At 43.5% G+C, this 26629-nt stretch overlaps 1 protein-coding gene across 29 annotated transcripts in view, besides 3 other annotated features; it reads left to right on the top strand.

Annotated features, from left to right (window-relative positions):
• The window catches only part of SPTAN1 (spectrin alpha, non-erythrocytic 1), an 81076-nt gene that overhangs the window by 1688 nt on the left and 52759 nt on the right, over positions 1 to 26629 (top strand). For 15 of the 29 annotated variants that reach the window (NM_001375311.2, NM_001375314.2, NM_001375310.1 and 12 more), the window contains exons 2-10: positions 12464 to 12703; positions 14498 to 14623; positions 20401 to 20541; positions 20925 to 21071; positions 22549 to 22682; positions 22855 to 22999; positions 23078 to 23232; positions 23836 to 23971; positions 25363 to 25464. In NM_001375311.2, coding sequence (NP_001362240.1) covers positions 12467 to 12703; positions 14498 to 14623; positions 20401 to 20541; positions 20925 to 21071; positions 22549 to 22682; positions 22855 to 22999; positions 23078 to 23232; positions 23836 to 23971; positions 25363 to 25464 — 1323 coding nt within the window. In that variant the 5' untranslated portion in view covers positions 12464 to 12466. Of the gene's footprint in view, positions 1 to 1074; positions 1126 to 12463; positions 12704 to 14497; positions 14624 to 20400; positions 20542 to 20924; positions 21072 to 22548; positions 22683 to 22854; positions 23000 to 23077; positions 23233 to 23835; positions 23972 to 25362; positions 25465 to 26629 lie in introns of all 29 variants that reach the window. The other 14 variants (NM_001375318.1, NM_001375312.2, XM_047423783.1 and 11 more) reach the window with 1 other exon arrangement.
• Positions 276 to 570: a silencer, noted in NCBI's record as "tiled region #290; HepG2 Repressive DNase unmatched - State 1:Tss, and K562 Repressive DNase unmatched - State 25:Art". NCBI's record gives its function as "represses a minimal TATA promoter and a strong SV40 promoter by Sharpr-MPRA in HepG2 and K562 cells {active_cell/tissue: HepG2 | K562}" and the evidence as "EXISTENCE:reporter gene assay evidence [ECO:0000049][PMID:27701403]".
• Positions 762 to 1261: an enhancer, noted in NCBI's record as "NANOG-H3K27ac hESC enhancer chr9:131317315-131317814 (GRCh37/hg19 assembly coordinates)". NCBI's record gives its function as "activates a minimal SCP1, AML or CMV promoter by ChIP-STARR-seq in naive H9 embryonic stem cells {active_cell/tissue: H9 hESC(naive)}" and the evidence as "EXISTENCE:reporter gene assay evidence [ECO:0000049][PMID:30033119]".
• Positions 4603 to 4662: an enhancer, noted in NCBI's record as "active region_29085". NCBI's record gives its function as "activates an Ori minimal core promoter by ATAC-STARR-seq in GM12878 lymphoblastoid cells {active_cell/tissue: GM12878}" and the evidence as "EXISTENCE:reporter gene assay evidence [ECO:0000049][PMID:35858748]".

Here is a 26629-nt window from a genome sequence, read left to right on the forward strand (position 1 = left end):
TGGCAAACCATCAGCCTAGTAACTGATTCTCTGATATGCTTTGGTCTTGGCAGTGTGTTTTGTAGTCATCTAATAATTGGAGAAATCTGGTATGTCACAGGCTGCAGTGTAAGCCTGTCAAGCAATATGATGAAGAGGTGCACATGGGGAGAGCTGTTTTAAGTATGTCTTTTGGTTCCCTGGGTTAGAATTTTTTCTGCTTTTTCTTACCTGCCTTCATCCAAAGTTGGGGGTCAACTGCAGATCCTGAAAAGTGGATCTCAGGAATAGTCCCCCATGTCCTGTCACTGCTGAATCTACACTAAGAATGGACAAGTGTGTTCAAGGCTGGCCTGCCTTTGTAATCAGTCCTCCGTGGGCTATGCAGGGATCCCACTAGTTACGCACTCATCTGTTGCAGCATATCAGCTGCGGCTGTACTGTAGAAGAATGCAACGCCCTAGTGGCAAATGCTGACTCCAGGAATGCGGAGGAGGAGGAGGACTGCATAGCTCATCACTGGGGGCCACTTGACTGGAGCAGCTGTGCTGCAAACCATCACCTCTCTTCCACCTTTTTTGCATATTCCTCTTGTACCAATTTTGAACAGGAAATAGTATTTTGTAAAGTAAGTGTACTGGCAAACTAGGCCCAAGTCAGATCTTTGTGGCTTGAGTTCTACTTTGTGGCAATTTCATGAAGTCATGCTCTTTTATTGCTGAATGGAAGGGGATTTAGGAATCATCTTGTCCTGGGATCCTCAGGAGGAAGGCATGTTTAGTTTGAAAAAGTATATTCGGTATTATTACTTTAACAAGTGGGGAAATTGAGGCCCCAAGGAGAATGAGACTTGACCAGGGCAGCATATCTAGAAAGTAACTGCCAAGACCTGGGAACCTTGGTTCTCCTTCCACATTTTAAATCCCTTGTGGGATTTAGACGCTATACAGAATGTCAGAGAGAAGACACTGAAAAAATATCTGAAATTGGATTTTTAATCTGTATTCATATTTTTTAAATAATCTGTTTTCTTCATGATTTTGTTCCGTTTGCCCTTAGAAGCTTGTTATCTTGCTCTTCCCCCTCCCTCTTTAGACTCCACATTCCTCCATCATGTTGTCATCGTTTCGTAAACGCAGAGTCCAGGTATTTGACGAGCATGCAGAAAACGGGTTGCCTTTTTGGTTTTGCCTGGCTTGCAGTGAAGGCATATTCGTGTCAAAGAGGTTGAATGATCCAAAGAAAGGGGGAAAAAAACCCTGCCTGCATGACGTTTCTGTTAAACAAATTGGTTAGGATTTGTTTGGGGTTTTTTGGTGTTAAATTATCAGAAGTATTAGTAAATTTACTTGAAAATTTGCAAAGCCTTTTTTTTTTTTTTTTTTTTTTTAACCTCCCTCTCTTTCTCTTTAAGGCATGAATATATTAATTTCTTACCACCATTCTGGTGTTTGCATGTAGTGTTTGCTGACTTTTTATTGGTGGCTACTTGGTTTTTAAGAACCAAGGGACTAAACATATTATCCTAGATATTTGGAGAAAATAATCTGAAAATACATAGTAAAAATTGTGTTTTTAAAATTTGACAAATATTGTAAACTTGGGTTTGTTTCCTGTTGCATTGACTTCTTCCACCACAATTTCTATAATAGAGCTTACCTTTTCATGTTTAAAAAATAGCTCTCGGGCTGGGTGCGGTGGCTCATGCCTGTAATCCCAGCGCTTTGGGAGGCTAAGGTGGGTGGATCACTTGGTCAGGAGTTCAAGACCAGCCTGGCCAACATAGTGAAACCCCATCTCTACTAAAAATACAAAAAATTAGCCGGGTGTTGTGGTGGGCCCCTGTAATCCCAGCTACTTGGGAAGCTGAGGCAGGAGAATCGCTTTAACCGAGGAGTTGGAGGTTGCAATGAGCCGAGATTGCACCATTGCACTCCAGCCCAGGTGACAGTGCGAGACTCTGTCTCAAAAAAAAAAATTAAAAAACAGCTCTCTTTATATGTTTTCTTTGTGTACAGTCTTTGTTTTCTAAGTCGGACCTTTTTCACAAAAAAAAAATTTAGTATCTTGATATCCCAAAATAAAAAATATAAACATTGGAAATTTCTAGTGTTTATAGGTGATAAATCCAAGGCAGGCCTTTTTATAAATCAGATGAGTTATTTACTTAAATGAGGTTTATAAAAATGGGCCACATTATAACCATTTCCTGTTTTGAGTCATAGTAACAATAAGGAACTTAAATACCTCTCATCTGAATTTTGCAGGTTAAAAGGTAAGTAGCAGCAAGATAGTATTTGGGAAGCAATCAGAAGTAAGTTTTCTCAATATTGCTCTGCATTTCTGGATTTTGATGCAATGCAGTATGAATCTTTTGCTTTCTTAAAGCTAAGTCCCTGCTCACCTCTGCAAAATTGCGCTAACAAGTTGAAATGAATTAATCAGTTTGAAGGCTGACATGCTGATCCACAATCCTGATTGGAATGTGGTTTAAGCAAAAATATTTGTTGTTTTTATTTATGGTGTTCAGTCATCCTTTATGTATTATTGACCTCTCTGCTTACCATCAAATCTGCCACTAAAATCTGCAGCTAAGCTGGTTTTGAGTTAATTTTGTTTGATCTGAGAATCAACTGGTATACAATTTTATGAGTGCTAATCAATTCTTTGGTGGTTTGTTCTTAGGGAAGCCCTTCCACATCCATGGATATAGTTCTCTTGCTTTGCAAATCTGAAATTTGGTAATAGGCTGGCATCCTAAGCCACGGAAAAAAGACATTGTTGGTTCTGCACATTTGGGTTCTGACTAAGCAACAAAAGCAACTGATGAATGGTTTCTATGATCTTTTGCTTTGGGTGATGTTTATGAATTTTTCCATAACCAAATGACCAAACGACCCGTTCATCCTGTTAGTCCCTAAAAATCCCTTTCTTGCAAAACTGTATGTCTAGTGGTGTCCTGCCTGAGAATCAGAATTCATTTTGTAGTATTCCAAATGTCTCTTACATCCAGTGCATTCAACTTGCTGAAAGAATGGCAATCCCAATGCTTTGTTTTTAATAGAGACTCCTTTCAGCTTCACTATAATTTTTTTCTCTCTTTTGGGATTCCATAGAGAAACTGACTGCACTCACTGCAGGTGCCAGGTTTACAGAGTCCAGAGCATTTGACCTTTGGTTCGAAAATGTTTGTATCTGCAGTCTTTTGTGTTGCTTAACGCAGTGGGATTCCCACCCACTGCCTCTGCCTGTACAAGAAGATAGAGCTATATATCCCATAAATACCCCCCAATTTTTTTTATTTTTATACTCCCAAATTTTATGCCCCCAAATACCCCCAAATTTTTATTTGGGGAATGAAAATTCCCCAAATACCAAGAACTGCCTCAAACAGCTGTCTCTTGGCGTTCATCAATAAGACAAAGATATTCATGTCTAATCTATTTTGTAGGAATCCATTTTCAGTTGATACTGTGTATAAGTTTGTGTTTGATATCCTGGATCATTCTGAAGCATGCTGTATCTTTGGATTAAATTAGAAATTTCTTTTTTTTTTTTTTTTTTTTTTGAGACGGAGTCTCGCTCTGTCGCCCAGGCTGGAGTGCAGTGGCGCGATCTCGGCTCACTGCAAGCTCCGCCTCCCAGGTTCACGCCATTCTCCTGCCTCAGCCTCCCGAATAGCTGGGACTACAGGTGCCCGCCACCACGCCCGGCTAATTTTTTGTATTTTTAGTAGAGACGGGGTTTCACCGTGTTAGCCAGGATGGTCTCAATCTCCTGACCTCGTGATCCATCTGCCTCAGCCTCCCAAAGTGCTGGGATTACAGGCGTGAGCCACCGCGCCCAGCTGTATATTAGAAATTTCTAGCCAAGATTCATATATTCAGACCCCACTCTTCTTCCGAGATCTGGTAGTATTGTAAGAATGCTGACAAGTTCATTTTATTCATTTTATTTATTACAATAGAGGACATAGTTGTAATTCCTGCTTTATCCCCCTGAGATTCGCATTACTTGCTGAATGATGCAGCTAACGTTTGACTGCTGCGTTGCAGCATTTATAAATAGCCTACGTCTTCAGTCTCCTCTAATAATATTTTGCAAATATATACCTTTTTTTTTAAGTTACCTTAAATGGGAAGTTGTCCTTAAACATATAGAGAATATACTTAGCACTTCATTTCCCCTCCTTCAGTCTCTATGTGAACAGACTTGATTGGCAAAATCAGAGACAGTTGGCTCCTTTGAGATAAGCAGTCAGTTGATTGCATTCCTAGGAAGTCGTCTCTGTTGTGGTTTTTAGGCAGTTAGTGGAACTGATAGATAGGCTGGTAAGATTGGAGTTTGTTTTTTAATGGCACGTTTCCCAGATTTTTCCTTTCTGGTGCTCTCAAAAGGCGTTAATCCCATATGGCTGGGAACAGCCTGGAACGTTCTCTGTGAAGTCGGCCTTATCAGTCTGCTGCATATGCCAGGGAAGGGGTGGGGTGCTTGCAGCATGCAGCCTCGGTTGTGGAAGGAATGTGGCACGCCCAGGCCGAGCTGAGCTGACATTTCAGTAACTGACAGTTTCGGGTGAGAGGCTGTAGCACCTTTGGATGGCAGGAATTCTTAATGATATTTATGAGAATTTTCCTGTGTTTAATGTAGTCTGCAGAAATGACCCTTTTAGGAGCAAAAAGAAACTGGAACTCGTGTAGATAAACAAGAGACAGCTCCCTGTCAGGTTAAGAGGGGGGAAACTCTCACTAACCCATAATGTTTTTTGGTGTCTCCTGTAATTGCACAAATGAAAATTCTGAATGCTGACTGCAGTGGGAGCACATTGGTGACTTTCAGATACCCAGCTCCCCAGAGACAGCCTGTTGTGGCTTGGCAGACCTCCCACCTACTGACGTCAGCTGATCTACTGCAGGAAAGAAAAGTCCATTATTGCCTGACCAAAGCACTTGGTATAGAATTGACTCGTTCTACTTCACTGGGGTGACAAAGAGGGCCTTTTAGGTTGGTTAATTTCAGCAGGGCCTTGCTGAACTGTCTCTCTGGATTGGCAGGATCAAATCAGCAAGCTGGGCCCAAGCAGGGGGACTTGCTCAGATGGAACCTTTGCGATATTATGATGGAGATTTTCTTATCATAAAGGGCTGTTCCCAAATGTGATTTAATTTCTGTAGCAGGTAAAGGATTTTAGAAATGCAGTGACTCCTGTGATAGGAGGCAGAACAGCACCATACACTCGAATCCTGGAGACTGCCATCTCTTTCAGGAGCTCGTGTGCAGTGTCGTTATTGTTCCATGTGTAACTATGCCTTCCTTGGAAAATTTCTTTACAAGAAAATTTTGGAAGCAAACAAATTAGATGCATAATTTCTCAATGTTTTTCCATCTTAACTGTTTCCTGAGGGTTGAGAACAAAGGAAATATATAAATAAATAAGTCTAACCCTAATTGTTTACCAAGACTCAATCTTAAATAATTTTGATTTTTTTTTTTTTTGAGACGGACTCTTGCTTTTTCGTCGCCCAGGCTAGAGTGCAGTGGTGCGATCTTGGCTCACTGCAACCTCTGCCTCCCGGGTTCAAGCGATTCTCCTGTCTCAGCCTCCCAGGTAGCTGGGACTACAGGCGTGCGCCACTATGCTTGGCTACTTTTTGTATTGTTAGTAGAGATGGGGTTTCACCATGTTGGCCAGGCTGGTTTCAAACTCCTGACCTCAGGTGATCCACCCGCCTTGGCCTCCCAAAGTGCTGGGATTACAGGTGTGAGCCACCCTGCCTGGCCGATAATTTTGATTTTTAAGAAATGATTAATACATCCACATCCACCTCACCTTTTTTTTTTTTTTTAAGAGACAGAGTCTCGCTCTGTCGCCCAGGCTGGAGTGCAAAGGCGTGATCTTGGCTCACTGCAACCTCAGCCTCCCGGGTTCTGGCAATTCTCCTGCCTCAGCCTCCCAAGTAGCTGGGATTACAGGCGCACGCCGCCACACCTGGCTAATTTTTTGTATTTTAATAGAGACGAGGTTCCACCGTGTTGCCCAGGCTTGTCTCGAACTCCTGAGCTAAGGCAATCCACCCCCTTCAGCCTTCCAAAATGCTAGGATTACAGGTGTAAGCCACCGTGCCCGCCTTTTTTTTTTTTTTTTGACACGGAGTCTAGCTCTGTCACCCAGGCTGGAGTGCAGGGGCTTGATCTCAGCTCACTGCAAACTCCGCCTCCCAGGCTCAAGGGATTCTCCAGCCCCAGCCTCCTGAGTAGATGGGACTACAGGCATGTGCCACCACACCCAGCTAATTTTGGTATTTTTAGTAGAGACAGAATTTTATCACGTTGGCCAGGCTGTTCTCAAACTCCTGACCTCAGGTGATCTGCCCGCCTCGCCTCCCAAAGTATTGGGATTACAGGTGTGAGCCACTGTGTCTGCCTCACTGTTTTTTCACTCCAAAGTGCAGATGTGAAAAGGAACTAATAAAGAGGGAGTGAAGGCCGGGTGCTGTGGCTCACGTCTGTAATCCCAGCACTTTGGGAGGCTGAGGTGGGTGGATCACCTGAGGTCAGTTCGAGACCAGTCTGGCCAATATGGTGAAACCCAATCTCTACAAAAGTACAAAAATTAGTCGCGTGTGGTGGCGGGTGCCTGTAATCCCAGCTACTGGGGAGGCTGAGGCAGGAGAGTCACTTGAACCTGGGAGGCGGATGTTGCTGTGAACCCAGATAGCATCACTGCACTCCAGCCTGGGCAACAGAGCAAGACCCCATCTCAAAAAAAAAAAAAAAAAAAAGAAGTGAAAGGAACTAATAAATAACCAAACAGCCATCAATAAATAATATGTCGGCCAGGCACGGTGGTTCACGCCTGTAATCCCAGCACTTTGGGAGGCCGAGGCGGGCGGACCACAAGGTCGAGATCAAGATCATCCTGGCCAACATAGTGAAAGCCTGTCTCTTAAAAAGAAGAGAAATACAAAAATTAGCTGGGCGTGGTGGTTTGTGATTGTAGTCCCAGCTACTCGGGAGGCTGAGGCAGGAGAATTGCTTGACCCTGGAGGCGGAGGTTGCAGTGAGTCAAGATCGCACCACTGCAATCCAGCCTGGCGACAGAGCAAGACTCCATCTCAAAAAAAAAAAGGCCAGGCGCGGTGGCTCACGCCTGTAATCCCAGCTCTTTTGGAGGCCGAGGCAGGCAGATCACGAGGTCAAGAGATCGAGACCATCCTGGCTAATATGGTGAAACCCCATCTCTGCTAAAAATACAAAAAATTAGCCGGGCGAGGTGGTGGATGCTTGTAGTCCCAGCTAGTCGGGAGGCTGAGGCAGGAGAATGGCATGAACCGGGGAGGCGGAGCTTGCAGTGAGCCGAAATTGCACCACTGCACTCCAGCCTGGGCAACAGAGCGAGACTCCGTCTCAAAAAAAAAAAAAAAAAAAAAAAAAAGAATATGTCAATATGTCAACTCTAATCATGTTAAGAATCACTGTGTCTATTGTGCCATATTCTGGGAACCGGAGGATCCCAGGTCATCCTGGCCTTTGCAACTTGCTTACTAAATTACCTGTCTCCCAACTACTTAATTATAAAACGATGGCAGTTTCTTTATTTCCAAGCTCTGAATATAATTGGATCTATAATATGTGCCAAGTCCTGAGTTCTGTGCCCAGAGAGTAAGAGTAAAATATGGTCTTCTTTAGAGTTCCTTAAAGGACTTATGAATGTGGTAGGGAGAACACAATAATTTCATGGCAGAATGTGGCAGTGTTATAAGATGAATGATAGAGGTGGGTGGTCAGGGAGTGGAGACTTCTGATTCAGAAAGACTTCATAGAGGACGAGGCATTTGCTTTGGACTCAGAGATCTGTATGATTTGTTTTTTATATTTTTTATTTTTTTGACAGGCTGGAGTGCAGTGACGCGATCTGGGCTCATCACAACCTCCGCCTCTCAGGTTCAAGCGATTCTTCTGCCTCAGCCTCCCGAGTAGCTGGGGCTACAGGCGCGTGCCACCACACCCGGCTAATTTTTGTATTTTTAGTAGAGATGTGGTTTCACCATGTTGGCCAGGCTGGTCTGGAGCTCATGACCTTGTGATCCACCTGCCTCGGCTTCCCAAAGTGCTGGGATTACAGGCGTGAGCCACCGCGCCCAGCCGAGATCTGTATGATATTAGATGGTAGGGTTGGGAGTGGGAGAGGAGAGTGCACTCCTGGGAAAGGGAACTTTTTGAGCTTTCAAATGGACCCTGTCCAGGACCTGTAATTGGTGTTGGTGAGGGAGCTTGACATGAGATACGGCTGGAGGAGACAACTGGAAGGTGACTGAGTGAAGTCTTGTTTACCTTGTAGTAAATGTGATTATAGTGATCCTTGTCAGGGTCCTCATCAGAAATCAGCCTTCTCCAAAATAGGCTGACAGACTTAGGGCAGCAGTGTAAACTATGACTGCCTGTTATCATTAAATATTACAAAACTTTGGGAGGCCAAGGTGGGCGGATCACGAGGTCAGGAGATCGAGACCATCCTGGCTAGCACGGTGAAACGCCATCTCTACTAAAAAATAGAAAATATTAGCCGGGCGTGATGGCAGGCGCCTGTGGTCCCAGCTACTCAGGAGGCTGAGGCAGGAGAATGGCGTGAACCCAGGAGGTGGAGCTTGCAGTGAGCCGAGATCACGCCACTGCACTCCAGCCTGGGCGACAGAGTGAGACTCCGTCTAAAAAAAAATATATATATACATGTATGTGTATATATATATATATATATATATATATATATATATGTATATATTTTATTACAAAAACTGCTCTGAGCAGACATTAAGCTTTTCAAGGTCACTCCCAGTTTTTGGTTTTAAGGACTTGACGTCTGTTTTAAGAATAGAAAATAGGCCAGTGCAGTGGCTCATGCTTGTAATCCCAGCACTTTGGGAGACTGAGGCATGTGTATCACTTGAGTCCAGGAGTTCGAGACTAGCCTGGGCAACATGGTGAAACCACACCTGTACAAAAAATATAAAAATTATCCAGGTGTGCTGGCACCTGCCTGTACTCCTAGCTACTCAGGAGGCTGAGGCGGGAGGATCGCTGGAGCCCAGGAGGCAAGGTTGCAGTGAGTTGAGATCGTATCACTGCACTCTAGCCTGGGCAACAGAGTGAGACCCTGCCAAAAAACAAAAAACAAAAAAACGCCACTTTCTCAGAGTATACTGCCATGTGGTCAATCCAAGATTGGTAATTCAGATTTAGTCATTAGGTTGACACCTAGTTGTGTAGCTTTAGTCAGCACATTCTTTATTTGCCATTCTTGTCATCAGTCTAGCACTTAACTGGATAGAATTCCAATTTTACAATATGCAAACTGAAAGATTCGTTATGGAGCTCTCTCCCTACCCCTTACAAATGAATTCAGGTCTGCTGCACAGCATCTGCAACATTCAGCATGGACTTGATCATTTATTCAACCATTTCTTTTTTTTTTTTTTTTTTGAGACAGGGTCTCATTGTGTCACCCAGGCTGGAGTACAGTAGTGTGACTACGGGCGCATGCCACCATGCCTGGATAATTTTTTTTTTAGAGCCAGGGTTTAGCCATATTACCTAGGCTGTTCTCGAACTTCTGGGCTCAAGCAATCCGCCCACCTCAGCCTCCCAAAGTGCTGGGATTGCAGATGTGAGCCATGGCGCCCGGCCTATTCAACCAACATTTCTTGATGACCTCTGTATGCTAGAAATCAGGGATACAGGACCGGACATGGTGGCTTACACCTGTAATCTTAGCACTTTGGAAGACCGGAGGTGGGAGGATCATTTGAGCCCAGGAGTTCAAGACCAGCCTAGGCAACCTATCAAAACCCTGTCTCTACAAAAAAAATTTAAAAATTAGCCAGTCATGGCTGTGCGTGGTGGCTCACGCCTGTAATCTTAGCACTTTGGGAGGCCAAGGCGGGTGGATCACGAGGTCAGGAGTTCGAGACCAGCCTGGCCAACATGGTGAAACCCCGTCTCTACTAAAAATACAAAAATTAGCTAGGCACCATGATGGGCGCCTGTAATCCCAGCTACTTGGGAGGCTGAGGCAGGAGAATTGCTTGAACCCGGGATGCAGAGGTTTCAATGAGCCAAGATCATGCCACTGCACTCTAGCCTGGGTGACAGAGCAAGAGTCCTTCTCAGAAAAAAAAAAAAAATTAGCCAGTCATGGTGGTGTGCACCCATAGTCACAGCAAGTGGGAGGCTGAGGTGGAAGCATCACTTGAACCAGGGAGGTCGAGGTTGCAGTGAGCCGTGACTGCACTCCAGCCTGGGCAGCAAAATAAGGTCCTGTCTCAAAAACAAATAAATAAATAAATAAAAATCTGGTATACAAATATTAGGTTGCTCGGTGTAATCATACCTTAGGATGTATGTACAATTGCTTTGCAAATCTATAGAGAAGTGTGATTACGTCTGAGAAGGAGGGAAGGAAGGAACATTGGGTACAGTTTAGTAAAGAGTCAGGATCCTGCAGTTTACCCATTTCAGCTGGGTGTTGAGATATAAATAAATAAGCGCTATCTAGGCAAAGAAGAGTCATAGGACATTCTAAACAAAGGAAGCATGTGCACATGGCTTGGAGTTTTAAAGGGAATTACACATTTTAGAGCAGAAAGAATACTTCTATCCGCCACAAGGGTAGGGGTCACGGGTGAGAGATAATACCAGGCAGGCATGTTGGGCCAGATTGTGAAGGTCCTGCTCAAGAGGTGGGTTCTTTCTTCTGTCTGAAGGAAGCCATAGGTCGGGGGCAGTGGCTCACACCTGTAATTCCAGCCCTTTGGGAGGCTGAGGCAGGCAGATCACGAGGTCAAGAGATCGAGACCATCCTGGCCAACATGGTGAAACCCCATCTCTACGAAAAATACAAAAATTAGCTGGGCGTGGTGGTGCAGGCCTGTAGTCCCCGCTACTCGGGAGGCTGAGGCAGGAGAATCACTTGAACCCTGAAGGCAGAGGGCAGTGAGCTGAGATCATGCCATTGCACTCCAGCCTGGTGACTGAGCGAGACTCCGTCTCAAACAAAAAACAAAAAAAAGCCATAAAAGATTTGGGAGTGGCATGGCGAAGAATGTTTCCTTTTATAGTATAAAACATTTTGGACTGTGGAAAAACAATAATACAACAAAAATACATGGTTGATATGTGGAGAATAATTTAAAGGAATGGTGATATGACTAAAATCAGCTCATCTACACTTCTCCAGGAAGGTGGTCTCTTAGAAAGGCAATCTTCAGATCTGATCAGGCACAGACAGTGCCTTCCTACCACCAATGAGAACTGCTTGAATCCCTACAGAGCTGGGGCACTAGCTAGAAACTCTGACATCAGCCATCTCCTTCTGTTTACCTGCTAGGTGGATGTGGGGCAGCACTCTTGACAGGTTTCATTCCTAACTCTTAGCCTACTCACCCTTTTCTTTCTGTCTTGGGATAGACGACAGGATAAAGGAAAGAACTCCCAGATGTTTCCAGGGTAACACAATTTTATACCTTTTATTATACATTGTAGAACAATAGCTGGAAGGGACCAGCAGGCTTATCTGTTCTGCTTCCTTAGTGAACTCAAAAACCTCTCTATAGGCTGTAATTTTGAAGTTCGAAGAGACTTGAGAGCACGTCGTTTTTCCTGACATTTTTAGTCACTTTAGGAAATTGAGGCATGGAGAGGGAAGGTGGCTAGTGTGAGGTCACATGTTGCTGACAAATTCAGAAGCTTTTTGGCGTTAATCTGTATCTGTTTCCTTCTGTGTTCCTTAATTAGTTAGAGGATAAAATGGCATATTCTTTGTTTTCGGTTTTTGTTTTGTTTTGTCACCCAGGGCGGAGCGCAGTGGTGCAATGATGGCTCACTGCAGTCTTGAACTCCTGGGCTCAGGTGATCCTCCTGCCTTAGCCTCCTGAGTAGCTGGTACCATAGGCACACACCACCATGCCCAGCTATTTTTTTGTATTTTTAGTAGAGACGGTGTTTCACCTTGTTGCCCAGCTGCTCTCGAACTCCTGGAGTCAAGCAGTCTGCCACTTTGGCCTCCCAAAGTGTTGGGATTACAAGTGTGCGCCACCGCACCCCCTGCTTGAAAGGACTTCTGAATGGACTTAGCAGTGATTATTTGAATACCACAGTTGCTGTTTCCTCTGAATCCTTGAAGCCTTTGTAGAATTGACAGTACAAACCATAGTTCTCCCATTCACAGTTTTCATTTGGTTTCCTTGCCGTGTGTGGGTTAGGCATCTTCTGAGGGCCCTATGTAGGTAGGTGTTGCAGGGGAATGGATGGCCGTTTTTAATAAAGAAATAGGATCTGGGCTTCATTGTTCCTAAGAAGGGGCTGTCTTCTCAATTCATTTGTCTCCTGGGTTTATCTGATAATTATTTCTTTCCTTCAGAGAGGCTAATTACTTTTCATCTATTTTGGTGCCTATTGGTACTTATCTCAGCGCATTTTGTCATTTCAGAAAATGGACCCAAGTGGGGTCAAAGTGCTGGAAACAGCAGAGGACATCCAGGAGAGGCGGCAGCAGGTCCTAGACCGATACCACCGCTTCAAGGAACTCTCAACCCTTAGGCGTCAGAAGCTGGAAGATTCCTATCGATTCCAGTTCTTTCAAAGAGATGCTGAAGAGCTGGAGAAATGGATACAGGAAAAACTTCAGATTGCATCTGATGAGAATTATAAAGACCCAACCAACTTGCAGGTACGTCTGATCTCCTGGGATTCCTGCCAAAATTCAAGAGCCCAAATGTTCTTACCCAAAAATCAGACGAGGAAAGTTACTTAATTATGACCTTGAGAGATTGGACAAGAAGAATATAATAAGGAAGGACAAACTCATTGTTTTCCTGTATTAGTGAGGGTGAATGTGGAATCTTAGAGGTATTAATTGTCTTTTCTGGATGCTTTAAACTGATGGTTCTCAAACCTCTGCCTTGATACTACTGGTGAGCTTTAAACATTTTTCAGGGAAGTTCTGGGTTAATCTCTTGGAATGAGGTTTTTTGTTTTGTTTTGTTTTGTTTTTGTTTTTTGAGGCAGAGTTGCGCTCATGTCGCCCAGGCTGGAGTGCAATGGTGTGATCTTGGCTTACTGCAACCTCCACCTCCCAGGTTCGAGTGATTCTCCAGCCTCAGCCTCCCAGGTTGCTGGGATTACAGGCGCCTGCCACTGTGCCCAGCTAATTTTTGTATTTTTAGTAGAGATAGGGTTTTGCCATGTTGGCCAGGCTGGTCTTGAACTGACCTCAGGTGATCCACCCACCTTGGCCTCCCAAAGTGCTGGGATTACAGGCGTGAGCCACCACACCTGGCCTGGAATGAGTTTTTGAGGAAGGCATAATAGTGATGTTGCTGGCAAAAATTTATAGTTATTCTGGAGTCAGATATCAAAGAATAAGTACTTAAAGTTATGAGTCCCTTTCAGAGACTTGGTAAATCTTATCAAAAGCAAAGCCTGAATCTTATGGTACGTAAATTATATATTTAAAACTTTTTTTTTTTTGAGACGGAGTTTTGCTCTTATTGCCCAAGTTGGAGTGCAATGGTGCAATCTCAGCTCACTGCAACCTCTGCCTCCCAGATTCAAGTGATTCTCCTGCCTCAGCCTCCCGAGTAGCTGGGAATGTAGGCACGCGACACCACGCCCAGCTAATTTTTTGTATCTTTAGTAGAAACAGGATTTCATCATGTTTGCCAGGCTGGTTTCGAACTCCTGACCTCAGGTGATCTGCCTGCCTCAGCCTCCCAAAGTGCTGGGATTACAGGCGTGAGCCAATGCACTCGGCCAAAACTTTTTTTATAAAAAGGGAAAGCCTTTCTTCTCACTTATTTCAGTGAAAGATTTTTAAAGAAAATTGTTTCGGTAGCAAGTGGAACAGTAGTTGGGCCCATGGATTTTTTAACTATAAAAAATTGATTACAGTAACCTAAGAAGAGAATGAAGAACACTGCTTTAGGTACAATCCCTGCCTGGCAGGCCCCTTCCCATCTTAGTATTTGATGAAAAAGAGGTATTGAGAAATGGAGTGTAGGCAGGGTCAAAGAGTCTGGCCTCTAAAGCAAGTGAAAGAAAGTCTCATGTGTGAGTGAATATGGATGGATTTTTCAAGAGTAAGCACTGAATGTTGAGAAAACTGTTGGTATGGTTCTGTATTTCTAGAAGGGACTGGATGTTCACATAAAGGCTAATTTTCTGATAGCAAAAACAAAAAATTATTAATAGGATATTTTGTAGCATCTTCCATTGACAATGTTAGTTCTCAATGGTGAGTGAGGACCATTGATGGCCCTCGCTGGCCAGGCTTTCAGAGGACCAGGAGAAATGCAGTCAGAGTATTTGAGGAATTGAGCAGGTAAGAGAATGGGCAAGGTGCCAAATGATGTATCCCTAACTAGAGGGAGCAGGATTGAGGAGGGGAGGAACACGGGGAACAGCGGGGACAAAATGCTGATGCTGTGTGGTTGCGTCTGAGGCTCACTTCAAGGTCCGCCAACAGGGAAAGCTTCAGAAGCATCAAGCATTTGAAGCTGAAGTGCAGGCCAACTCAGGAGCCATTGTTAAGCTGGATGAAACTGGAAACCTGATGATCTCAGAAGGGCATTTTGCATCTGAAACCATACGGGTGAGTATGAGTAGCTCGTGGAGTGGATGGCTTCATCTGGGTGGAGCATTGTAGATTCATGCATACATGTCAGTTTGGGTTCCCAAAAAGATAGACTTTTCCAGCTTTTAAAAGAATTTATGAAGTCTCCTTAAGAAGTTACCCGAATCCTGCCTTTGTAATATGACAGCATGAATGCAAGCGTTTGTATACTCAGTGAGGAAATTAATATTCCTTTTGCAGAGCAAATTAGAATGTGATTATACTTTAAAGAAAACTGTGAATTTAACATTTATAAGTGGCAGTGAGATGGCAGAGCATATTAGTGAAATTGGCAAATTTAAGGACTCAGATGCAAAGATAAATAGAAACAAGCACAGACACTATAAAGAAGGTTATCTGTGGGAAAGCTTGCTGTCTTGAATCTTGGCTTGCCCTGGGAGGGGTTTACGTCTAGGCAGCAAGCCTGTTAAAGCTCCAGCTCTAAGGAATGATGTGTGGCACCTATTGGTCAATGACCATGGTGATGGGACTGACTTTGAGGCAGGAGTCCTGGAACTCTTTGGTCTGGCTGATTTTAGTGCGAGTTTATTGGAGCTGAGGTAGTAATTGATCTTTCTCTGCTTCGTTTCACATATCTAGTATGAAGATATTAAGGGAAAACAAACCTCTTGACAGTGAGGTGTGCACGTTGAGTTTCTTATAACTGGATGTACTTATCTATCTTTGATATACATCATGTCTAGCTGTGTGTTCTCTTTGGTTCTTTGTCATCCAAAGCCACATTGCATTGAGGCCCAGCCTTTTCTAGTCTTTTACCTGTCAAAGCAGTCCTGAAGATTTAAATGAAAGCTGCACCCTTAAGCCCCAGCTAGAACTGTTTTGTCTCCTACTCTTCCTTGATAACTGTGTGGAGGTTTCGTTCACTGAGGATCCAGTCTACTCATTTTCAACAATAAATGTTTGTTGTCTCACGTTTGCTTGGCAATACTCTACAGTCTCATATTAAGGACTTACAATTAGCCCTAAGATGTATGATGAATAATTATTAACTATTACTAATAATGATGATTGTAAATAGGAAATAAAAGTGAATTCCAAATGTCATATGACTAATAACATTTAACCCATTTGGGCAATGTAATATGTGTTTGCAATTAAATACAGATATTTATCTTCCCATCTTCACACTATTTTATATACAGTCTTAGAGTAAATGAAATCAGTCTGCGTTATTATTTCCTTGATAGAAGTTGTTTTCCCAGAGTGAATGAGGCACCTCTGTAGTAGAATATGTAACCAGCTTACAGATGGGGAACATTGGACAGAGATCAAGTGTTTGGCTTCAGTAATTAAGGCGGAAGGGAGGAGGACCTAAAGCTGACTTTATTCATGTCTATTAGTACCCTCTGCCCTGTTTAGACAGCTTATATATATATATATATATATATATATTTTTTTTTTTTTTTTTTTTTTTTGAGACGAAGTTTTGCTCTTGTTGCCCAAGCTGGAGCAGAATGGCAAGATCTCAGCTCACTGCAACCTCCACCTCCTGGGTTCAAGCAATTCTCCTGCCTCAGCCTCCTAACTAGCTGGGATTACAGGCGCCCACCACCATGCCCGGCTAATTTTTGTATATTTAGTAGAGATGGGGTTTCATCATGTTGACCAGGCTGGTCTTGAACTTCTGACCTCAGGTGATCCACCTGCCTCAGCCTCCCGAAGTGCTGGGATTACAGGCTTGAGCCACCGTGCCCAGCCCAGATGGCTTATTTATTTATTTATTTATTTATTTTTGAGATGGAGTTTTGCTCTTGTTGCCCCGGCTGGAGTGGAATGGCACGATCCCGGCTCACTGCAACCTCCACCTCCCAGTTTCAAGTGATTCTCCTGCCTCAGCCTCCCGAGTAGCTAGGATTACAGGCATGCGCTGTGCCACCACAGCCAGCTAATTTTGTATTTTTAGTAGAGACAGGGTTTCTCCATGTTAGTCAAGCTGGTCTCAAACTCCCAACCTCAGGTGATCTGCCCGCCTTGGCCTCCCAAAGTGCTGCGATTACAGGCATGAGCCGCCGCTCCTGGCCTAGATAGCTTATTAAAGCAACATTAACAATACTGTTAACTGGCCGGGCATGGGGCTCACACTTGTAATCCCAGAACTTTGGGAGGCCAAGGCTGAGGCAAGAGGATCACTTGAGCTCAGGAGTTCAAAACCAGCCTGGGCAACATAGTGAGACCTCGTCTCTACAAAAAAAATTTAAAAATTAGTGGGGCGTGGTGGTGCACACCTGTAGCCCCAGCTACTGGGGAGGCTGAGGTGGGAGGATTGCTTGATCCTGGGAGGTCAAGGCTGCAGTGAGCCATGATTGCACCCCTGGAGTCTAGCCTAGGCAACAGAGCAAGACTGGGAAAAAGAAAAAAAAAAAGGCCAGGCACAGTGGCTCATGCCTGTAATCCTAGCACTTTGGGAGGCTGAGATGGGCGGATCATCTGAGGTCAGGAGTTCAAGACCAGCCTGGCTAACATGGTAAAACCCCGTTTCTACCAAAATACAAAAAATTAGCCAAGCGTGGTGTTGCGTGCCTGTAATCCCAGCTAGTTGGGAGGCTGAAGCAGGAGAATTGCTTGAACTCAGGAGGCGGAGGTTGAAGTGAGCCGAGATCCTGCCATTGCACTCTGGCTTGGGCAACAAGAGCGAAATTCTGTCTGAAAAAAGTAAAAAAATAAAATAAAATTTAAAAAACCTATTAAATATAGTTTGTTGAGTAGGTATTAGGAGCTATTTATGTACAGTTACTTTGCTAACCTCTGATCTTCACAGTAAGTGTGCAAGGTGGCCATTATTTCCCTATTATGTGAGAGTAGAAACTGAGTCTCAGAGAATTTGAGTAACTTGCCCAAAGTCACACAGTTGATAGATGACTGAACTGGAATTTCCTCTATCCCCTTCTTTGTCCAGTCACCACTATTTGTTTTATTTTAATTTATTATTATTTTTGAGACAGGGTCTTGCTGTGTCACCCATGCTGGAGTGCAGTGGCACAATCTCAGCTAACTGCAACCTCCTTCCACCAGGCTCAAGTGGTTCACCCACCTCAGCCTCCCGAGTAGCCGGCACCACAGGAACGCACAAGCACACTGAGCTATTTTTTTTGTATTTTTAGTAGAGATAGGGATCTTGCCATGTTGCCCAGGCTGGTCTTGAACTCCGGAGCTCAAGCAATCCGCCTGCCTCGGCCTCCCAAAGTGCTGGGATTACAGGCGTGAGCCACTGCACCCAGCCTGTGTGCTTTATTTTTCCAACCTGTACTTCATTCCTGTCTTCTTTGCTTAATGTTTCCACCATCTGCTTCTCTGAAGGCTCCTGTTGCTTGCTTATGTCCCTACTGAGAAATCCACCTGAGTCAGAACCAGGCTTGCTTGTCCACCCCGTCAGCTTTCCACATGTTTATGAAGTGCACCTGCCTCCCTGCCCACTCACGCTCTCAAATAATAGTAAGCCTGTGAAGCCAGACTCTCTCTAACCTGCAGTATTTACAAGATCAGACACATCAGCAATGGGACAATGGTTCCAGTACTGGGACAGGCCTTGCCCTAGTTCTTTCTTGAGGGTGTAAAAATGAAATATGTGAGATGGACAATTGACTTGAATGTGAGAGGATTTTCTCTAGTCTTCTGTGGCCTCATTTTTAATTTGAGCAGGAGCTCTCATTTAATCTTTTACTTTCATGCTCACAGTTACTATGGTGATCTTGGCTTGGTCATTTATTTGGTCCCCTAACTCAGTACCTTAGTTTGGCAGAAAGTGGTAGCAGAGGAAGGTGGGTGGCATGTGAGGGCATGTCTGTGTCCTGGATAACCTGTCTGTCACTGGTTTAGACTTTCACACCATACCGGACAGCGTGGCGCCCCATAGTCACCGCCACCCACATCGGGTCCCACATCCGAGTAGGTGGAGTATTGACTTGGTTGCCTTTTCCCCCTTGCTTTGGAGTGCCTTTCACTTCTTTCTCAGTGGTGGGGTCACAGTTTTGCCAACAGTGGTGGAAGTGAATTGTGTGAGCATGTATTCCTCTGCTGCTTTCTCCTTTCAAGTAAAACATCCACACTTGTTTCTAAGAGAATCCACCCATGTTGACTGTCACATGGTTTTCAGGTTTTCATTTTGCTAGGAGTGACATCTCAATCATGGGTGGATCCCAGACTTCTTTTCTGTTAGTGTTTAAACCGCTTTGTTTGTTTTACTTATGTCTGTCAGTGTTGTACAGAAACTCCCAGTATCTTGGGTAGGCATAATCAAGGCATTGAGGTTGGATTGGAATACCAGAATGCATCATCTAAGCTTGAATTGATTACTAATTTCCTCCAATTCTTGATAAGTCCTTACTGGGCCTGTGTTATGAGAACCCAAAGATGCTGGGAAGTGAATACGTTTGACCCTGTGGCTGCCACTTGGGTGAAGTTTGGAATAAACCTCACTTGAGATGTACCACAAACTGTCTTTTCACAGAAGGTCCAAAGTTTTTTCTATCAGGGATCCTTTTTGATAGCTGATGACTTTTCAGGACCCCATCTTTTCTACTTTTTTATTTTTCCCGAGATGGATTCTTGTTCTGTTGCCCAAAGCTGGAGTTCAATGGCACAATCTTGGCTCACTGCAACCTCCACCTCCCAGGTTCAAGCAATTCTCCTGCCTCAGCCTCCCGAGTAGCTGGGATTACAGGTGTGTGCCACCATGCCCGGCTAATTTATGTATTTTTAGTAGAGACGGGTTTCACCATGTTGGCCAGGCTGGTCTCGAACTCCCGACCTCCTGATCTGCCCACCTCAGCCTTCCAAAGTGCTGGGATTACAGGAGTGAGCCACTGCGCCCAGCCCTTTTCTACTTTTTTTTTGAGACGGAGTCTCGCTCTGTCGCCCAGACTGAAGCACAGTGGCACAATCATGGCTCACTGCAAGCTCCAACTCCCTGGGGTCAAGTGATTCTCCTGCCTCAGCCTTCTGAGTAGCTGGGATTACAGGTGTGCGCCCCCATACCCGGCTCATTTTTGTACTTTTAGTAGAGATGGGGTTTCACCATGCTGGCCAGACTGGTCTTGAACTCCTGACCTCGTGCTCTGCCCGCCTCGGCCTCCCAAAGTGCTGGAATTACAGGCATGAGCCGCTGCACCCAGCCTCCCCTTTACTACTTTTCCACCAAGATTTTCCTGTTGTGCCTCATAGTTTTTACATTGATGATGCCTATAAGACCTCTTCTTTTGTTTTTTTCCCTTTATCTCCATGAATTTGGAATACATCCTTCAGTAATTTCAGCTCAGTTTACACATTAATTCCTCATTTTTCCTTTCCCAGTAGTCTTCTGGATTAGGAATTCCACTCTAATAATTTAATAATAATTAATAGTATCAATTGTGTACCTATTATTATATAATACTAAAATATATAACTATACAATATAAATATATCATAAATATAATTATAAATGAAATATAAAGATATTATTAATAATATAAATGATAATGATTTTCCTGATGTAAACTAGAGTAAATCTACCTGTGAAAGAACTAGAGTAGATCTACCTACTTGTAACTTGAAGACCACCAAAAAACCACTGTGAACTGTGGACTTTTCCCTACTGCCAGTTAAATTTACTATTTCCTCTCAGTTTAGGGATTATCTTTTAAAAATATTTTTATTCAGCGCTCCATAAGGTCTCTAACTTGTCTAAACTCTATGGAAGAGCCAGATCCCACAGAGCCAGTTGTGATCTGATTAAAACTCTGATTTGAAACTTTCAGACCCGTTTGATGGAGCTGCACCGCCAGTGGGAATTACTTTTGGAGAAGATGCGAGAAAAAGGAATCAAACTGCTGCAGGCCCAGAAGTTGGTGCAGTACTTACGAGAATGTGAGGACGTGATGGACTGGATCAATGACAAGGCACGTTTTGGGAAGAAGGGTTTGCTAAGCTTTACTCAAAGAAAAGGGAAGAGACTCCTCTGTGATCTGTAGTGAGACCCAGTGTTAGCACAGATACGGCCATTTTAAGTAAAAGGGTGGAAGTGGGGTTGCTGTCTCTCCAGCTGCTCTCTAGGTGTATGTGCTATTCTGTAACTCTGAAGCCTGGAGTCGCTGAGACAGAAATGCCGTGAACTCAACCTCTTAACTTTCTGTGGGAGGAACTAAAATCACAAACCACAGACAAAACTGTATCCATTAAAGCTAACATGGCTCCGTCCCTAATGTGTCTGTTTGATGTTTCTGGAAGCCATTGTTAACAAATGTTGGTTGGTGACTCTGGCTCTCTTATGGTCCCTGAATAGGAAGCAATTGTTACTTCTGAAGAGCTGGGCCAGGATCTGGAGCATGTAGAGGTTTTACAGAAGAAATTTGAAGAGTTTCAAACAGATATGGCTGCTCATGAAGAAAGAGTTAATGAAGTGAACCAGTTTGCTGCCAAACTCATACAGGTAAATAGCAAAGTGCTGTATGCTTCTCACAACATTATTATGTTAACTTTTTAGTATATTCAGGATAAAATTTTGATGATTGGTCCCCTAATTTCTGAGTGAGCAAGTTTTTGTAAGCATGTCTGAGAGTTTTGTTTAGATGTGAGGCACAATACTGATTACTCCTAAATTGGAAAATGCTTTTCAATGTGTTGCCTTGGGCAGGAAGGGCAGAGTTCATTTGATCTGTTTCCTCTACCCACTTTTGGGTAGGGCTGGGTGAAGCTTTTATTGGACTGCTGAAGCTAGGTCTCAGGGTTTCTCAGACGAGGGTGTGGTGGTGAATGCTAAGTTAGTATTGGCAGATGTCCACCAATGCATTAGGGCTCTTGCCTTCCTTTTTTATTTGAAGCTTCCCTGGGCTCTCTTGGGAGCCTGGGAGAACCTTGTCGTGAATAGGCTCTCCACTCTGGCGCTGGAGCCCATTAAGAGGGAATGACAACCCTTCCCCAGTGCCCACGTGTACAATCCTGTAAGCTGCTTCCACTACGAGTCCAAAGGGTTCCAAAGACATCAAGTACTCGGAACCAGAGAGTTTTTACTTTTAGGGAAATTTGATTTGGGGGGTACAAATTTTAAGTGTATAAATCTGCTTATAGGCTGGTACTTGTTTCCATTTTCTGGCCAGTGATTAAGAGAAAGATACCCGGCATTCCTCAGAAATATCTCACCCTTCCACAGTGACAGATGTGTTGCTTTTCCAAACCCTAAGCTTTCCTGCGGTTGAGCTTGAGAAAAGTAGTCAGGCCAAACCCATGGTATCCCAGATGGATTCAAGAACCCTGAAATGCTTCATTTTATTACTTTGTATCATATTTTTTAAAACACCAAAATGTGGTTGGTAGGGAAGGATACTTTTAAAGAAATGTCTCTAAGCTTGATGCAGTGGCACCTGCCTATAGACCCAGCTACTCTACTCAGACTCAGGCTGACAAGACAGGATCACTTGAGACCAGCCTGGGTAACATAGCAAGACCCTGTCTCAAAAAAGAAAAAAAGAAATGTCGTCAGTCTAAAGCCAGGGACAAACTCTTGAGCCCCGAAAATTATGTTTATGTGCAAGAATGCTTAACAGCCTCATGAACATCTGAAATACCAAATTTTCAAGCAGTTAGGGTAGATGAGTACATTGATAAAGTTACCACACAGTTGTTGCCAAACTATTTATTAACATAAAGGTTTTTGGCACTTTTGCACATAACCACCTTATAGACTAACCACACTACTCCAAAAGATAGAGAATGGCTCTCCCCTTTTTACATAAGAAATAGAAACTCTTTGGAGTTGTAGTTCACTTTGTATCATGTTGACCATTATTTCTTGTGATTCTCTTCAGAGTGGTGATTTGCTGAGATGCTTCAAGGAACCAACCCCAGGGTAACTAGTTGGAGGAGCCAGAAGTTGTGTACAAATCCAGTCTCTTCTCTTCCTTGTTTAGGAGCAGCACCCTGAGGAGGAACTGATCAAGACTAAGCAGGATGAAGTCAATGCAGCCTGGCAGCGGCTGAAGGGCCTGGCTCTGCAGAGGCAGGGGAAGCTCTTTGGGGCAGCAGAAGTTCAGCGCTTTAACAGGTGTCAAGCCAGAGTGGGCTTTGGGGAATGGGTCTCAACCTGGAGGGGAGTTGTGAAGCACAGGGCATGTGCTGGTGAGCTGTCGAGGCTGACTAGGCCTTGGTCCCATGGGGTGTTCCTAGTTCTAGGGAGTCATCATTGCTGTGGATTAACTGGTGCCTTTGTTCTGTAGGGATGTGGATGAGACTATCAGTTGGATTAAGGAAAAGGAGCAGTTAATGGCCTCTGATGATTTTGGCCGAGACCTGGCAAGTGTTCAGGCTCTGCTTCGGAAGCACGAGGGTCTGGAGAGAGATCTTGCTGCTCTAGAAGACAAGGTGGGTTTTACAAGCAGCTGATTCTGTAAATAAGTTACCAAGGGTCAGGAGAATAGTTCTGACGGAGTTCATTTCTAGGTCAAAGCCCTGTGTGCTGAGGCTGACCGCCTGCAACAGTCCCACCCTCTGAGTGCAACACAGATTCAAGTGAAGCGAGAGGAACTGATTACAAACTGGGAGCAGATCCGCACCTTGGCGGCAGAGAGACATGCACGGCTCAATGATTCATACAGGTGCAAATAATGCTCCAGGTCTTAACCAGTATCATTTGGCTTCTTTTTTGGAAGCAGGAATAGCAGAGTTAAGGGTCTGTTCTGTGTTCTGTGAAAGTGTCAGGTATCACCTACAAATGCAAATCACTTCTTACCTATGTTCTCTCTGTTTGGAGACTGGCAACTGTATCATGTGTAGTATACGTATGGTATTTACAACTTCATAAATTCTTCTATTCTGCATCACTGCATTATGATTGATAGAATGGGAATGTCCCTTTAAGTATCTGAGTATCACATGAAATATCTTATTAAAACCAGGATTAGAAAGGAAAAGAATCCTTGCTAGCCAAGGGTTGAACCTGGGAATAACAAGGAAGTTGAAAATGTGGGACAGGATTGGGGCATTATAGTGATGGAGAGAACCTAAGTTTTAAAGGGTTGATTTCAGCCTTCTCTTGCTTTCCTTCACAGTCTAGATTGGGAAATTTTCATATTTCCCAGAATTAGAATTTATATAGTTTGTTAGACATTTGAGAACATAGAATTCAGAGCTTTAGGGAGGCCATTTTCCACCCTGGAACCTCCGCTGGAAACATAATGTCTTCCTTTGGTTTTCCCTAGGCTTCAACGCTTCCTTGCTGACTTCCGTGACCTCACCAGCTGGGTGACTGAGATGAAAGCCCTCATCAATGCAGATGAGCTTGCCAGTGATGTGGCTGGGGCTGAAGCCCTGCTAGATAGACACCAAGAGCACAAGGTAATGGTATCTCTAGAATCTTCCAGAAGTGAAGATTTTAGCTTATAATGCACCAGTTTATCAGTGTTGGGTGAGGCCTATAGTCGGCGTTGGTACCATGTTATTCACAGGTGTTTCTCATCATGAGGATTATGGTTGGTTTTGCCTTTGGAGACCTGGTCTACCTGCTTCTGATAGAGGCTTAACTGGGTTCAGTGTCAAGAGGTTCACTGTGGTCCATAAAAGCAAACAGACAAGCTCTGGCGAGATAGAAGTGCTACTACTTGGCACATTGATCCTTTGTGATGTAAAAAGTATTTGTTGGGCCAGGCACGGTGGCTTATGTCTGTAATCCCAGCACTTTGGAAGGCTGAGGCGGGTGGATCATGAGGTCAAGAGATCAAGACCATCCATGCCAACATGGTGAAACCCCATCTCTACTAAAAATGCAACAGTTAGCTGGTCATGGTGGCACGCGCCTGTAGTCCCAGCTATTCAGGAGTCTGAGGCAGGAGAATCGCTTGAACCCGGGAGGCAGAGGTTGCAGTGAGCCAAGATCACACCATTCCACTCCCGTCCGGACAACAAGAGTGTTTCACTCTGTCTCAAAGAAAAAAAAAAAAAAAAAAACCTTCTGAGAGGTTTTAATGTGCTAGATACAAAATCAATATACTGAAAGTCAAACATGTTTCTCTACACTAGCAACAGAAACATAATTTTTAAAAATACTACTTATTAGAGCAGAAAATATAAAGTACTTAGGAATAAGTCTAACAAAAGAGTGTAAGACACTTCTGGAGAAAACTATAAAACTTTGTTAAAAGGCATTAAATAAAAACTGAATAGATAGAATGATTTATCTAGTACACAGATGGAACGATCTTCTGTGAAGGTGTAAATTCCCACCAGGATATATACCGTTAATGCAGTTCCAGTCAAGTGCTCAGCAGGTATATGTGTGTGTTTCTTTTTGCAATGAGATAAGCTGATTCCAAAACTGATTTGGAAGAAAAAAATTCAAAAAAAGCTGAGACAATGTTGAAGATCATAATGGGGCCAGGGAGGGACTCGCCCTACCAGGTTCTATAAAATCATAGTAAACAAGTCCATTTGGCACAAAGAAGACAGAGCCCTGGAATGAAAGAGAGCTCAGACCCATGTGAATGTGTGGAACCTTGACAAATGACAGGTGACCTGAAAAGCCATTTGGAAAGGATTTCATCAGTGAGTGATACTCTCACATTTGATGACCTAGACTGATTATGTATTAGGAAATCTGGCCTAATCTTTCATTTTGTTTCTCATTTTAGATGTCATAGTCTGGCTTATAATGCTTATGTAAAATTCAGCACCTTGTTTTTATTTTGTAAGATGCTGGGCACAAATCATGGCTTTGTTTTTTTCTCCTGTAGGGTGAAATTGATGCCCATGAAGACAGCTTCAAATCTGCAGATGAATCTGGACAGGCACTGCTTGCTGCTGGTCACTATGCCTCAGATGAAGTGAGGGAGAAGGTAAGAGAAGAGAAATGGAGCTTTTGAGGAGCAAATTACACCTTTCACTAAGTCTCTGAAAGCTATTATTCATCCTTAAATATCCAGAGAACGCATTCACCATGATATGTGAGAAACTTTCCTTTCTCTGCAGAGGTTTAAAAAGAAGGTATATGTATAGTGTGCTGATTTCCTGAGAGACAGTCCTCCTTATCTGGGGCATGTGTGGCATGTTTCCTACTTACAGGGACTTTCTGTAGGGAGCTGAGTCTTGCATTAGGAGTTGGAGCAAAGAGGAAACAAATTTTTATAAAATGATACATAGGCCAGGTGTGGTGTGACCCCAGCACTTTCAGAGGCCAAGGCAGGAGGATTGCTTGAGGCCAGGAATGGGAGACCATCCTGAACAACATAGTGAGACCCCCATCTGGACAAAAAATTAATAAATTAGCCAGACATGGTGGCACATTCCTATAGTCCGAGCTACTTGAGTTCAAGGTTATAATGAGTTATGATTTGCACCACTGCACTCTGGCTTGAGTGACAGAGTGAGACCCTGTCTCTAAAAAAAAATAAATAAATAAAAATAAAATATGTATATATATACATATTTTATTTTACTTTTTTTATATGTGTATATATATACACATATGTATATAAGTTTTGAAGTATCTTCGAGTATAAAATTGCCTAGGAACATTAGATAAATAATGATTTATATGATTTATATGTTTTTTAGTATTACATAGAGTAAAGACATTTCAAAGACTTGTCATTAGTAGCTTCGGAGCCTAAAGTCTAGGGAGTTTCTGAATTTATTTTCCATATGTTATGGAGCACCCACTCAGTTGACATTTCTTAGTGGAGAGTCCCTACTCCATTTATACTCCATTAAACTCCATTTATACTGCCTCACTTTTAAATGGATGCCCTATTTCTTCTACCTGGGAGTTTACTTACTGTTTTTACCTAAAGTCATTTGTGATCATTTGGCAATAAATTAATTCTAGATTAATTAAAACAGGCCATCCCTTTTATATTGAACATGCACATACAAGTGAATGTTGTTTTTCCCCTTTTGCAAATCGGAAAAAAGGCCTGAAGATTAGCACTAGGATTAGGAATTCCAGGATAGCTGTTCTGTCTGCCTCGGAGGCATTGGGGCTGACCTCATCTCCCTGACCAT

Source organism: Homo sapiens, chromosome 9 (assembly GCF_000001405.40).
Source record: "Homo sapiens chromosome 9, GRCh38.p14 Primary Assembly".
NCBI classification, from domain to species: domain Eukaryota; kingdom Metazoa; phylum Chordata; class Mammalia; order Primates; family Hominidae; genus Homo; species Homo sapiens.